This window comes from Homo sapiens, chromosome 5 (genome assembly GCF_000001405.40).
Source record: "Homo sapiens chromosome 5, GRCh38.p14 Primary Assembly".
NCBI classification, from domain to species: domain Eukaryota; kingdom Metazoa; phylum Chordata; class Mammalia; order Primates; family Hominidae; genus Homo; species Homo sapiens.
The window spans coordinates 146,574,559-146,590,260 of NC_000005.10; the positions used below are offsets into that span (position 1 = coordinate 146,574,559).

Consider the following 15,702-nt stretch of genomic DNA (forward strand, 5'->3'; position numbering starts at 1 on the left):
TTTTAAGTAACTTTAAAATAAATGTATTTGTTTGGAACACAGTCACACTCATGTATAGATTGTCAGTAGATGATTTCATACTGCAATGAGAGTTGAGCAGTCACAACAGAGACTGTATGGCCTGCTATATTATTCCGTTCTCAGACTGTAATAAAGAACTACCTGAGACTGGGTAATTTATGAAGAAAGAGCTTTAATTGACTCACAGTTCTGCAGGCTGTACAGGAAGCATGGCTGGAGGCCTCAGGTAACTTACAATTATGGTGGCAGGTAAAGGGAAAGTAAACACAACCTACTGTGGTGAAGCAGGAGAGAGAGCAAGCAAAACGGGAAGTACTACACACTTTCAAACTGCCAGATCTTATGAGAACTCACTATCATGAAAACAGGAAGGGGGAAATCTACCACCATGATCCAATCACCTCCCACCAAGTCCCTCCCCCAACATTGGGAATTACAATTCAACATGGGATTTGGGTGGGGACATAGAGCCAAACCATATCATACCACCCCCTGGTCCCTCCCAAATCTCATGTTCTTTTCATGTTTCATAGCACAATCATGCCTTCCCAACAGTCCCCCAAAGTCTTAACTTATTCCAGCATTAACTCAAAAGTCCAAGTCCTAAGTCTCATCTGAGATGAAACGAGTCCCTTCTGCCTATGAGCCTGTAAAATAAAAAATAAGTTTGTTACTTCCAAGATACAATGGGGTTACAGGCATTGGGTAAATGCCCCCATTCAAAAAGGGAGAAATTGGCTAAAATGAAGGGGCTACAGGCCCCATGCAAGTCTGAAATCCAGCAGGGCAGACATTAAATCTTAAAGCTTCAAAATAATCTCTTTTGACTCCATGTCTCACATCCAGGCCACACTGATGCAAGGGGTGGGCTCCTAAGGCCTTGGGAAGCTCTGCCTCTGTTGCTCCACAGGGGAAAGCCCCCACTGCTGCTTTCTTGGGCTAGCATTGAGTGCCTGCAGCTTTTCCAGGCACATGGTGCAAGCTGTTGGTGGATTTACCATTCTAGGCTCTAGAAGACCATGGCCCTCTTCTCACAGCTCCACTAGGCAGTGCCCCAGTGGGGACTCTGTGTGGGGGCTCTGACCCCACATTTACCCTCTATACTTCCCTAGTAGAGGTTCTCCATGAGGGCTCTGCCCCTGTAGCAGACTTCTGCCTGGACATCCAGGCATTTCCATACATCCCCTGAAATCTAGGTGGAAGCTCCCAAACCTCAACTGTTGCCTTCTGCACACCTGCAGGCCCAAGACCACATAGAAGCCACCAAGGCTTGGGTCTTGCACCCTCTGAAACAATGGTCAGAGGTGTACTTTGGCCCCATTTGCCATGGCTGGAGCTGGAGTGATGGGATGCAGGGCACCACATTCCAAGGCTGCACATAGCAGCAGGGCTGTGGTTCTGGCCCAGAAAACCATTTTTCCCTCCTAGGTCTCCAGGCCTGTGGTGGGAGGGCCTGCCGTGAAGGTCTCTGAAATGCCTTGGAAGCATTTTCCCTATTGTCTTGGATATTAACATTTGGCTCTTCTTTACACATATTTATGCAGCCTTAAATTCCTCCCCAGAAAATGGGTTTCTCTTTTCTGTTGCATGGTCAGGCTGCAAAATTTCCAAACTTTTATGCTCTGCTTTCCTTTTAAATGTAAGTTCTATTTTCAGGTCATTTCTTTGTTTATGCAAATGGGCATAGGCTTTTAGAAGCATCCAGGCCACATCCTGAACACTTTGCTGTTTAGAAATTTCTTCTGCCAGATACCCTAAATAATCTCTCTCAAGTTCAAAATTCCACAGATCTCTAGAGCAGGGGCCCAATGCCACCATTCTTTTTGCTAAAGCATAGTAAGAGTGACCCTTACTTCAGTTACCAATAAGTTCCTCATCTCCATCTGAGATCACCTCAGCCTGGGCTTTACTGTCTGTGTCACAATCAGCATTTTGGTCACAGCCATTTAACAAGTCTCTAGGAAGTTCCAAACTCTTCCTCAACTTCCTGTTGTCTTCTGAGCTCTCCAAACTCTACTAACTCCTGCCCATTACCCAGTTCCAAAGTCGGTTCCACATTTTCAGGTATCTGTATAGCAGTGCCCCACTTCTCTGGTACGAATTTTCTGTATTAGTCTGTTATTACACTGCTACAAAGAACTACCTGAGACTGGTTAATTTATGAAGAAAAGAGGTTTAATTGACCCACAGTTCTGCAGGCTGTACAGAAAGCATGACTGGGAAGTGAAGGGGAAGCAGCATGTCTTACATGACCAGAGAATAAGGAAGAGAGAACGAAGGGGGAGGTATACCACACTTTCAAATAACCAGATCTCCTGAGAACTCACTATCACAAGAACAGCAAGGGAGAAATTAGCTCCCATGATCCAATCACTTCCCACCAGGTCCCTCCCCAACATTGGGAATCACAATTCGACATGAGATTTGGTTGGCGACACACAGCAAACCATATCACCTGCTAAGCTTAAAATATTTACTATCTGACCCTTTATAAGAAGAATTTACCAACCTTTGCTCTAAACAACTGTGCCATATTGGATTCTACCATTCCTAGGCTTCATATGGTGGCAAGATGGCTGCAGCTGCTCCTACTCCTAATCCTTTTTTTTTCACCTTCATAAAGAACATATCTAGTTCCCTGATTCCTCAAATGAAGCCCTAGAATTGAGTCTTGCTTGCCCTGATTGGCCTGATTTTGGTCATCACTAAACTGCCCAGCCCCACTGCTCCATCCCTGAAACTAGGAATGAAGTCAGCTTCATTCACCGTATATGGCTGGAGGTCAAGAAAGAGTATTCCATCCTAAGATGACATCTAGAGAGTTTACTGTGGGAAAAACATCAGAATTCTGGGTAGTAAAAACAAATATTGATTGTATTAATAATGGCCTATTTAGTGCATTTGCTTATTTAATTACATGAATGTAAATATTTGATGTAAATGGAAAAATTGGATGGAAATATTTCAGTAATGTGCCCAGATAGCTATGCAGGAAGGCAACTTTTCTACCCCCATCTCTCATGAGAGGCCAGTTGCTAATTAGTGGCTATTCTTTCTAAGGATTGTCCCAAAAAGATCACTGAAAGTGGGAGAGTGAGGAAGAATTCTGAAAGGAGAGAAGTTAAACCTATCCCCAACTGCTAACTTGAGCACTGCTTCCCTTTCAGTCAAAGCTGCTGCAACCTTTGTAACTTTCCTTTATCCTGTTACGTATGCATTTCTTGGTTCCTTGCCTTGTCTAGCTGCAAATATGGCACTAACTTAATATGTTTTTCATGACTCATAGTTGTCATAAATATACTGTCCTTGGTTGTGGTGCAGTGAGGCGTTTCAGGGCTCATGACATGCATTTGGGACTGTTTTCCCCAAAAATCCTAACTTATGTTGTTAGGGTGTTTGGTCCCTGTGTTAGCCTTTTAAATATCTTTTTATGAAGTATAATACACAAACAGAAAATCACAAAGAACAAATCTAGAACTTAATGAATTATCATAAAGGGAAAGTCCTTTAAAATGGTAAATTTGTAGTGTGTCAGCCTCCCTGAAGCCCCTCTGAATCCCTCCACCTGGTCATTCTCTCTTCTTTCCCTTACAGACAACCATTGTCATTAATTCTAAAGTAACCACTTTCTTGCTTTTCTTTATAGTTTTACCACCTAAGTACCACCCTAAACACTATAGTCTTGTTTTGCACATTTGTGAATTTTATGTAATTGTAGTTGGAAAACGTATATTCTTTTGTCTGATTTCTTTTTCTCAACCTCATATTTGTAAGATTCATAAGGTTGCTGTGAAGAATTATCATTCATTCCTTTTCATTGATAGCATTCCATTTTGTGGGAAGAACATACTGTTTTGTTCTACTATTGATGGTCATTTGTATTTTCTAATTTTAGCGTTTGTGAATAGTGTTGCTATGAATTTCTCTCCTGGTGTACTATATGCGCATTTGTTGGATATTTACTTAGAAGTTGGTCATAAGGTATAACATAGGGTATTATATGTATTGCCATATGTTAGTATTGATTGATTTCATTGATTTCTATATTACTGGATTATAGAATCTGAGTATCTAATATTACTAGGTAATAACAAAGAGTTTTCCAAAGTGTGCTGGGTTATAATCTTGCCACTAGTGTATGAGAGTTCCAGCTGTAATATGTCTTTGCCAACGTTTGTTAGTGTCAAACCTTCTCATTTTTTATGTTCATTGATTCTTTTGAATATTGTCTTTTGTGAATTGCCTTCAAGTCCCATACCCACTTTTCTACCAGGTTTTTTTTTTTGTAAATATGATTTGGAGAAACTATTTTTCAAAGACAGAACGCTATTCTCTTATCTCCATCTCCATGATATCTGTTGCTAATGGTCCTTGTACCTGTGATGCCTCCTCCTCTTTTGCTTTGGGTGGTCTCCTTCCCCTGTATCCTGGGGTCCTCTCCTCACTAACATATTCAGATTCTGCATTTTCCCTGGGTCATCGCCTCCATGAAGACCACTACACACTGATGACTAACTCTCCATCATATTTAGTGACATTCCAGTGATAGATCTTTTTATCTTGAGGCCTGTTGGGGGATCTCTCTTCACCTCTCTGCTCCACTGGCTTCTCAAATCCAGTATGTCCAAAATTAGACTCTATCTTTTCCTCCCCCTTGAACCTACCACTGTTTCTTTATTCTCCGTCTCTGTTCATGCCTTTGTTTATCATCTTAGCTATCAATCTAGGCATCTTCATCCACTTCTCTTTCTTAGCACTCATCAAATCACTCTCTAAGTTATATTGATTTTACTTCTTCAGTTTTTCCCTCATCCCTAGTTCAGACTCTTATAATCTCTCTCCTGGACCACTTCAATAGCTTCCTAAGTAGGCTCCCTGCCTTCAATCTTGTCCACTACAAATGTGTCATTTACACAGTTGCCAAAGTGATCTTCAAAAATGTGATTCCAACGATGTCAATTCTCTTATAATCTTCCAGCAGCACTCCACAGCTTGAGTGAAGTCTAAGCTCTCTAAATGGCCCTCTGCAATCTGGGCCCTGCTACCTCACTAGCACTTGAGACAGTCTTAGCCAAGAGTCTTTCCTTTCAGCAAAATCAAACTGCTTGTGCTACTCAGAAAGAGGTAGTGCTTCTTAACCATTGCTCATGTTTGTGCTCCCCGATCGGCCCCGGTCATCTTTGAAGGTCTAATTCACTTTCATCTTCAGGGGATTAGATGTTCTAACTCTATGTACCCATAATAATCTATGTATATTTCTGCTATTGCATACACCATGTTGTATTTAAGTCATCCTGTTGAGATGGCATTCGTATTAGATGTTATTCCTTAAGGACAGGGATTGTGCCTTGTTTGTATCTTACACTGTGACATATGATCAGGTATGGAATACTTGGTTGCTCAGATGAAGGAAAAATAATATTTAATCTTGTGGGTAAATGATATTTAATGTGATAGATACATGCAGTGAGCCCATTTGTGTAAACATGGATGTCAGTGAGGCTTGGTGTGAGGCACTTCCCCCAGGGCTACTTGCAGACCTGTCTTTGAATGGTACACCAGGCAAAAATGCTGAATGTTCCTGGGTAGGAATTAAAACTTCTTATCAAGGATGTCGACTCATTGGTTTTAGGCACATGGAAAAATAAAGACAACAATAACAATGAAATAAAACTGATTTTAGAAGTTCAAAAGACCTGGTTTCTATCCTGGCCTTGGAATAATTCTTCATGTAACCTTGGGAAGTTGTCACCATCCTTCTGGTCACAAAAGTGCCTGAGTAAGTTGAAATGTCTCCAAAAGCAATAATGTTTAATTACTGCTCACCACCTGGACAGTTATGTAATAACGAGCATGTAAAAAAGGAAGTCGTTACAATCTTATGTGGAGTCATATAACCTTATTATCAACAAAGCCAGTGGAGCCTTAATTTGTAAATGGATCCCCAATCCTGATGTAAAATACAATAAAAAAATTTACAATCTTTGCTTCCAGTTTGGGTCCTTATGCAGCTGGGAAGCATCCTCCATTTCTACAAGGATAATGAATTCCGAGATGATTCCCTGAGAGGAAAGAAGCCTGTTAATGGGACACTGAGGCTGTGTGTGTGTGTGTGTGTGTGTGTGTGTGTGTGAGAGAGAGAGAGAGAGAGAGAGAGAGAGGTCACATTAGGAAGAATTTATTGAATGCTAGATAACATGGAAAAGCTATAATTACTGTTCTTGGTGAAGCCTCTCCAGAGTTTCTCTTGGGACACCGTGGGATTCATTTGAGAACAATGGAGTTAATGAATCAACCCCGTGCTGGTCAAAGTGAAGAGCTTCTTTGAGTCATGATCCATGCCTGAAATGGTATTTCATTTTGTACTTTGAAAAAATCAGCTTTTTGAGCTGAACTTTCTTGTTCCATGATGGATACTTTCTCGGTTTCTATGATATTTGTCTGATCTTCAATGAATGTATTAATTCTCGAGTTTCAGCTGATTCTTTCATCAAGAAACATCACAAATTACCTCTATTAGTCTGTTCTTGCATTGCTATAAAGAAAAACCCGAGACTGGGTAATTTGTAAAGGAATGAGGTTTAATTGGCTCATGGTTCCACAGGCTGTACAGGAAGCATGGTGCTGACATCTGCTCAGCTTCTGGAGAGGCCTCTGGATACTTACAATCATGGCAGAAGGCAAAGGGGGAGCCAGCATATCTTACATGGCAGGAACAGGAGCAAGAGAGACAGAGGGGAGGTTCTTCACACCTTTAAACAACCAGATCTCGTGAGAACTTACTCACTATCACGAGAATAGCACCAAGAAGATGGTGCTAAACCATGCATGAGAAATCCACCTCCACGATCCAATCACCTCCCACCTGGCCCCACCTCAAACACTGGGGATTACAATTTGACATGAGATTATGGTGAGGACACAGATCCAAATCATGTCAATATATAATTAACCTTTCTGCCTTTTCAAAAATAATATGAAAAATAAGAACTGTTGTCCTTCTTCTCGTCAGGGAGGAAATGAGGGGTTTAAATAAATGCACCATTGACCACCTTCTGCCTTTTTCCTGTTAGAGTCCAGCATAGACTGAAAGGCCATTCCGCAGTGTATTTCAGATCAGTTCTGTATTGTGGCTTGTATGTAATATGACTCACTTTACTTTCCTTTACGGAGAAATAGATTGTCTTTAATATGCAACTATGATTGTTTGCTGTTCTCTTTATATATTCAGGCTGAGTCTTCATAAGCCACCTGCATTTGGAGTTGAAAACCAATGGTCTAGATGAAATATGACTTTCAATTATGCCACAGTCAGAGAAGCTGAAATAAGAAAGCCACACTGGAGGAAGTCAAGTTTATCTTATTGGAGTGAATTGGGCATGTAGAATAAAATCCAGCATTCACTCAGCACACAGCCCCACTGACCCTATTGTTCATCCCCCTCCAATTTATTGTTGTATTTCCCAGCTGCCCACAGAGCTTCCCCTGCAATATTGTGGACACCCAGGCAAATGAAAATGCCAATCTTCTCCCATCCCTGTCTTGCTGTATTAGGCATGTGCTCAGCTCTGAAAGATTTCTTTGGGGGTCTTGCCTTTCCCTAAGAACATCTAGGGGAAGGTTTGTCTCACCTCTTGTTTCCAAGTGGGAGGGTTGAGAATAATAGCTCTTGTCACTTCCCTTTGCCTTGTTATGGGGAATATTTAGTGCTGCAGCCTGGGTGTGGGGGCAATATCTTGGATGTGATAATGTTGCTTCCTGCATCAGTGAACATGGTATTGATTGTAAGCTGTCAACCTTTCTGCATGCTTTTCAGGGTCCCAGAAGGCTAACTACTGCAGGGAAGGTAATGCATCAGGCAGGGACACATATGCTCTATTAACTAACACTGCAATCTAAGCTTGATCACTTGCTTTTAACACATCTTGGCTCACTGGCTCCCAATTTTTTCTTAATTCCCTGACTCCTCTGAGCAGTCCTCTGATGCCCTGTTTGGATCTCCATATATCATTCAAACTCCCAATGGCATGCCGCTCATCTTATAAGCTTCCTGTGGGCAAGTGCTGTGCCTGACTTCCTTACACGTTTATTTGTTCATTCATTCAACAAAACTTTTGAGCACCTACTATGAGCCAGACAATGTTCTGTGCTCTGGGGATACAGGAGTGGCCTAAACAATGATGCAGTCCTCATGGAACTAAGGGTGGTTGAGAAAGCATCTCTGAGGAGGTGACATTTGAGCTGAGTTTATCAGTATATCCCCTGTGGCTGGACTATAAGTATTTGCGAAGTTTGGAAACCATATTTCCTCATTTTAGTGCCTCATAGCCTGGCTATTGGAGAAGCTCCTGATATGTGAACCACACTAAGTCCATGCATTATTATTTTTCAGATCATGCATTATTGCCCACTCACCTTACCATGTCTCCTTATTTCTCTTGGTCTGCCTTCCTACTTTTTACTAATCAGTCATACCAGAGTGTTGTGAATTCCATATATATATAGCATATGCTGTTTTGCCTCCACTGTCCTATCCTGATGTCTGGAATATGCTTTTCCTTTCTCTTCTCCTGGATAACTCACTCCCTTTATCTTTCGGATTTCACCTTGGGAATCACCTCCTCTGGGAAGCTTCTGGTCTGGATGAGTTAGTGCTCCTTTGTGTCCTCCTGGCACCCAGACACATCCATCATAGTGCATATGTTTTATAGGATTAGCAGAACTGTAGCAAGAAATGTGCACTGAATGCATATTTGTGGGCCAGGCATCCTTCTAAGAGCTTTGTGCATATTAAATCATGCAATCTTCACAGCAATTTTATGAGATAGATGTCGTTTTTATCCTTATCTCATAATGAGAAAATCGAGGCACAGAGAGGTTGTCATTTTTCTAGGTTGCTCAGCTTTTACATGGTGGAGCTCAGATTTTAACCCAGGCAGGCAGGCTGGCAGGCTCGGTATCCTGGGCTCTTGACATTCCACTGCCACCATTGCCTGTGAGTTTGTCTGCACCTCCCGCTATCTGTGAGCTGTGTGAAGATGGAGCTGTCACTGCTGCTTCCACAGACCACCCTGGCATGGGCTTGGCAGGCAGTACATGAACAATCATTAACCATTTAGTAAATGAATGAATGAATGCATGAAATTCGCCCAACTGAGCAACTGTTTAGAGTTCCAAAATGTTGCTTTTCCTTTTACCACTGAGGAAAGCCCCTGTTCCCTTCTACTCCAGCTTCCTCAGTCTTCCATGACTCCCACAAGTATGTATTACTCTGGCTGGAAGGGAGGGCATCCCTAGCCAACCAGAGCAAGAATCACAGCAATCATGGCTTGTTCCTACAATTTCTGGGTTTCTGTCAAATATGAGTTATGAAGAAGTGTCCTCTCCACTCTTTCTCAAACCAAATACAGCAGCCAAAATGATTGGAGTGGCAACTGAGAGGGCTTGAGATGGGCAAGCAGGAGCTGTTCAGTGGGCACTGTTCACCCAGGAAAACCCAGGTTGACTTTTTGGGGAATGAGCAGCAGGGGCGGGAAGGCTGGGAGTGGACTGGGATCTGTCTTGGCAGTGGCTAAGCCCCTTCTTCTGGCCTGACAGTGATCATTGCTTTGATTGCAGCTGAGGCAGGGATCAGCGGAGATGGCAGATCATGATGGTTCTGCCACCAGCAGTTTAACCAATGGGGCATGGAATATCTAAATTGGGGGACAGTTAATCAGTCATAATAAGGTCAAAGTCAGAAGTTGGAGACCTGTGAGCCACTTGACTTCACTCTCTGCTTTGATGACAGACCAAATTTGTATTCTTGGTCAGCTGTCAGGCAATATTTAGTCACAGAGAAATGGCGTGTTTGTGAGTATCCACGCTAGGGAAAATAATCAAGCCAAGGTAACTCTGCATTACCAATAACTGTGATGGAAGAAGTATAGGATCTGGAACAGGATAGATCTAGATAAAACTTCCTGCTACGTCATCTAACCCTTTTGAGTCTGTTTCTCGCTATAAAAATGGAATAATACATCTACCTATCAGGTGATTAACAATGATTTAAAACAGTGCCTCTCCCAATGCCTGTCATTGCAATAACTACTCAGGAAATATTGGTTTCCTTTTATTCTTTCCGTCTACTTTACACTTAAATACAGTGCTTAAAATAAGGTTTAATAAATATTTGTTATTGGATGAACAAAAGGAAAAAGGGGTAGGCTAGTTCTAGTATGTCGAAAATGTGTTTCTAATGGAAGGAGAGAAACATTGGCTTTCTGTTTCCATGCCATATGGATTTTGCTTCATATTCTGGTATATGTTGGTCTACCTATTGGAAACGCTGTATCATGCTTTGTTGAGCAAATTTAGTTAAAATTCTGCTTAGATGACACATTCTGAGAACCTTTTCTTATCACTCATTGATTAACTATTTCTTCCTCTGTATGACTTCTGCCCTTCATAGATATCTCATTGTAAAAATGTTTACAGTATGCAAATATGCACTTTCTCCTATGTGAGTGTCATCTCTTGGAGGGCAGGGGCCAGTGGTTTAAATATCTTAGTAACTCCAGCCCCTTGTCTAGAACCTGGCTGCCTGACACATCCCAGGCAACCAATGAATCTTTAATTCATTGAGCTTATGGGTCATTACTGGGGCTTGTTTTCTGATCAGTAACTTCCATCTACATGCATACACACACACACACACACACACACACACACACACACACACACATAATGTATGATGGGGATAGTGGATAAGAACTTTAACTAAAACTGCCTGGCTTTGTCACTTGTGAACTGTGTAAATTTGGTTGTCATTCATCTGTTTCTGTATCTATAAAATGAGAACAACAATAGTATCTGCATCTGGAGTTTTAGGGGTAAATAAGTCAATACATGTGAAATTTGTAGAACAAAGCCTGGCTTATAATAAGTGCTCAATAAATGTTAGCAACTATTGTATGTTAGAGCTGTATTTTAACAGCTCTGGCTTTAGAGTCAGATACCTTGAGTTGGAGTCCTGGTTCCATCTCTCTCGGGCTTTGTGCCCTTGGCTAGGTTGACAACTTGAGTCTATTTTCTCATTTGCAAAATGGAAATACTAATGCCACCATGGGGTCTGGGAGAGGAGATAATGAGATGAGGCATGGAAAGCAATAGTATATTACCCATCACTGTTGTTGCTATTATTAGTTTATGGTGCTTTAAACCTATCAAAATAGTTGTAAGTAAATGGATTTCTTGTTCTCCCAATAACAATTCTCTGAGCTAGGATAGATGTCTTTCTGGCCATTTTACAGGTGATGACACTGACATAGGGACTGAGTGGGTAGCTTAAGTTCCATGGTTACCAGGAGCAGGACCCACGTTTCCTGTCTCCCAGTCTCATCCTTTTTCCACTGACCAGGTTGGTTGCTCCCTTGGAAAGCAGTCCCTGAGAGTTGACTTAGAAGTTCAGGGGGAAGAGGTGGATGAAGGCATGTTGGATGCACAGTGAATCAGGTTGCAGTGTGAATGTTTCTCAGTGGTGTGTCTAGACTTCCCCCATCCAAAGACTAACCAGGCCTGACTCCATTTCACTTCCAAGATCAGATGAGATCGGGTGCATTCAGGGTGGTATGTCCAAAGACTGTGTCAGGGGATTTGTTTTGGAAGTGGGGTGGCATTATTAAAAACACACCGGCTTCATCCACACATTCATCACGGAAGAGGGAAAATTAGTAAGGGTTCCACCATTCAGGCTGTGGACTATAGTGTCATCCCTAAATCCTCATTATGAGGCCTACCAGGGCTTTCTTGAGCCCTGCAGGCAGCTAGCAAAGGGACTGAAAAAGAAATGAGGCCTGGGGTTGTCTGGGGAGGGAAGCTTTAGGCAGTTGCTCTGTAGGCTTGAAGGGAGGGAAATTATGGCTTTTCAAGTCCTTAGAAATTGGGCATTTGAGTGTGTACCTTTTATTATAATGGACCCTAGAATATTCAAAGGAAGTTTAGTGGAGATAGCTGACTTATTTCATTGGGCCACTGAGCTAGCAGAATTTTAGCTTCATCTTTATTCCACCTTGCAATTGTTCCATCTTATATATGCTGGTTGCCTAATAGAAGTTGATTTGGTTGAATTAATTACAAGATCAATGAGAGGTTTAAAGGTGCTTTTTTTTCAATGGAAGAGTAAAGGCAGGAGCCAAACTTGAAGGAGTTAAGAAGCAACTTGATTCCCACTGCCCATCTGCCTTTATATATCCCACTTCTTGATGCTGGCTAGTATCTTCCTTTTTTGTTTTTTCTAACTAATCTTCCTCCTCCTGACAGAAGAGTACGAATGTCTACCAAAGTTCAGCTTTTTGCATTACTTGTTTTTAACGTCAGGAACTGAATGTTGCGCAAGGATGGTTTTTGTAAAAGCCAGGGATGGCGTGGCTTCCATTTTCCTTCATTCAACTGACACCCTCCAGTTGTAATCTGATGGCTCTTACCAAGCAGCAGGCCTTGTGGGGTAAAGTAGTATAGGGCCCTTAGAATCGAACCAACTGTTGCAAGGTAGCAAATCAGCCTTCAAGTAGTTTTTAGTGTCAGCAGGAAAACAGACTGACTTCTATGTGCCACTAACTAAGAAATATTGCCAGTACTGGGGCTGAAAGATCACACATGTAAAATACCTAGTTCAGTACCTGGTAAAGAACAGTTAATTTGTGAAACATCGTGGTGGTTATTGCTCCCTGAGGCCTAATCTCTAGGGCTTTCCCCTCCTGTTCCCGTCCAGGAGTCTTGGGTGTTTGCTCTAATGCATCCTTTGCAGGGGATGGAGGAGAGGATGGCTGCCCTCTGCTCTTTCTTCTCTGGCAAACTCATCCTACTCTGGATCCCAGTTTGTACATCTATATGCTAAGGGTGTTGGACTAGTGTAGGGGCTTTTATTTGGAGTTCGCAGATAAACTGCAAAGGGGCCTATGAACTCCTTAAACCATGACAAAAATTATTCCTGTGTGTGTTATGGGCAGCCCTGCTGACTCTAATATGTGAAGAACCACCATCTTTGATGCCCCTAAGGGCATAAATCTTCTGTCATATCAGTTACTCAGGGTCCCAAAGTTTGATACACATGCTCCTGGTGGTTCACAAAATGATTTCAGGTGGTATGTGGGTGCATGTTTGTTACATTGATAATTATGTGATTAATGTTAGGGAAAAACCTAGCATATCAGAGTTGAAATTTCATGCATATTATTTCTTTGGAGGAGGCTAAGTCTTGCTTTTAAGAAAAGGTGACTTAAAAAAATGTTACATGAGTAATAGTACAAATGTGAGTTGATTCTTAAGTTTGAGATACAATGATTGGTCCCAACCCCCGACGTGGTACAGACAGAGGAGCTGAGTCCGGAGAAGTGGAGAAAAGGCCATAAAGGAAGTCGGTGGTAAATGTAGGCCAATAACCCAGTGGCCTTCTGCAAAATCATCACTCTCTATGACTGGCAGAAGTTTCTGACTCTCTCATGTCTCCTCCAAGAACACTGTCCCAGTCAGGACAGAAATCTTGCCCAGAGAGTTTACACCTTAGCCACTTTACTTGAGATGCCTAAGGCGAGGCTTTCCTTGCAGGAAAAATGAGAAATACTGAGAAAGTCTCGTCTTTGTTCCCATGCTCCCTCAATTCTGAGACGTACTTTTTTACATTTTAATGTTCCTGAAATTGGGCTGCATCTAACAAGACTGTTTTTACCTAAGGTGACAGTTATTTCCTTGCCAAAAAGCTATTAGTAAATGGATAGTAGCTTAGAATTGAGATAAAATGATTCTTTCACTATTTTTTCCTCCTCCAAAGCAAATTACACTTGAAAGTCAGGACTTCTAATACATCTGTAAACTGAAAGAAAATTTCCCTTTCATTGAAAAACTCTCATCTCAAACCATTTACCCTGCACTAAATGGGAGTTAGGAGAAATGAGTCATCAAGACAGATGTAGAGATATTAACCCAGAACCAGTTTTCTGGACTCCACCCATCTACTTTCCTAAGTTTATAAATCCTTTGCATGCATTTAGTGCCTTTCCTAGGGGTGTGCCACATAGAACCTTCTGGAAATGGCTTTCTAGAAGTTATAAATCTGGATCCTCAACTGGGGAAAAGGATGAACCATCTTCCACAGCTTCAAGTGGACTTCATTCACTTCATGTCACAGCTGCTTGATTTCCCCACAGTTCATTTCTGTAGAAGAGAGCCTTCTGGTCTGTTTTTCCAGATGGCGAGCTTGGGGTGAGTTAGAAGTGCCTGATTGGACTTCACAACTCAGCGTTTTTATTGGCTATTTTTGTTCTAGGTACAATGGAGGTTGATGGATTGTTACTTTTGGTTACCAAAACCAGGAGGAGGGGAGGGTGCTGCTTAGGAGAAACACCCAAAAAGAACAGACCAGCCTTTCTCAGGGACTCAGGGGTGGTGGCACTGCTTCCAACTTACTGCTTCATTTAGAACACCAGATAATAAGCACCCAGGACTCGGCCTTTAGAAGTCAATGGAATAAATAAGCTGGAAAAGGTTGAAGAGAAAAAAGCCAAGGAACATGTAAGTAGAAGATTATATGGAGCCATTTAAGAGCACAAAAAGCAAGAGTAACAAGGCAGCAGATGGAATTTGGCCCCGCCTGGCCCTGCCAAGCTCACTCTGGGAAGCACTGTGTCGAAAGTGCTCTCTTTCTGTCCCCTGAAGCATTCAAGTTCCCTAGCCAAATTCTCAGGCTGTTTCTATGGAGCTTACAAAAAAAGAGCATAGCAGGGTTGATGTGCCCTTTCCTTGTCATTCTGCATCCTCTTCTCAGCTTCATGCAATAAATCTCTGGCTTAAATGAAATTGTTCAAAGGAAAATGGAAAATGGAAAAAAAAATGGTGGAGGGGCAGGAGATACTGACTAGTTCTGGTTTTTCACAAAACAAGAAGAATTTGTCTAAGAGTAAACGGTGTTTATTTTTTGTTGATTTTTTTCAATCAAATGGAATTGCTTAATTAAAAAAAACTTATCTCTTTTCTCCTTAAATACTACAGACAACCTCATTTTATCGCAGCAGACACCTAGGAACAAAACACTGGACCCACCAGAGAAAACTGGGCAATAAAAGCATCAGAAGTTCAAGTCAACTATGGAAGAATTACTGTTAGCTGGCAGCTTTCAATTCTAAACAGAAGTGTCCCAAACCTATTGGGTTTGACAAAAGTTTCTTAGAACTGGGGAGCTGGGAATGTTGGACTCCTTTTAATTCTATTCCAATCATTTCCTGTATAGGGAAATTAAAGTCAATGCATCAAATGAAGACCCAAAGAAACATTTAAAAACTTGTTTGACTAGTATTCAGTATGTGAGATTATTAAGTAATAACTTGTCCACCTAGTTAACCTTGTCCTGGAATATATATAGGTTATTTGTAGCCGCCACTGCTATAATATTTTCTGAAGGATGCCAAGCTGTATGCAAGATCTTTTTGCTAAAGTCCAGACTGTCGACACTGATCTCGTCTTTTCTCCGCTTGCCCCCCACACACACTTTTCGGGGTTTGAGGATAGCCCGGGGCTTGCTGTTTTCCCTCGAAGCCTCAAGGGTCACATCACGCTTGGTGTTTCTGTCGAACATCCTGAAGAAGTTGTTGTAGGAGCCTGTCATGATGACACTGCAAGGCAGAGAGCAAAGGCAATGACATATCT

At 41.8% G+C, this 15,702-nt stretch overlaps 1 protein-coding gene, 1 long non-coding RNA gene and 1 pseudogene across 12 annotated transcripts in view; 1 reads left to right on the forward strand and 2 right to left on the reverse strand.

Annotated features, from left to right (window-relative positions):
• PPP2R2B-AS2 (PPP2R2B antisense RNA 2) overlaps positions 1-15,702 on the forward strand; it is a 59,059-nt gene that overhangs the window by 11,333 nt on the left and 32,024 nt on the right. The window lies entirely within an intron of this gene.
• PPP2R2B (protein phosphatase 2 regulatory subunit Bbeta) overlaps positions 6,184-15,702 on the reverse strand; it is a 500,779-nt gene continuing 491,260 nt past the window's right edge. For 7 of the 10 annotated variants that reach the window (NM_001271900.2, NM_181676.3, NM_181674.3 and 4 more), the window contains one exon: positions 6,184-15,668. In NM_001271900.2, coding sequence (NP_001258829.1) covers positions 15,389-15,668 — 280 coding nt within the window. In that variant the 3' untranslated portion in view covers positions 6,184-15,388. The remainder of the gene's footprint in view (positions 15,669-15,702) is intronic. The other 3 variants (NM_001271899.1, NM_181678.2, NM_181677.2) reach the window with 1 other exon arrangement.
• Positions 11,541-11,642, reverse strand: RNA5SP196 (RNA, 5S ribosomal pseudogene 196; annotated as a pseudogene).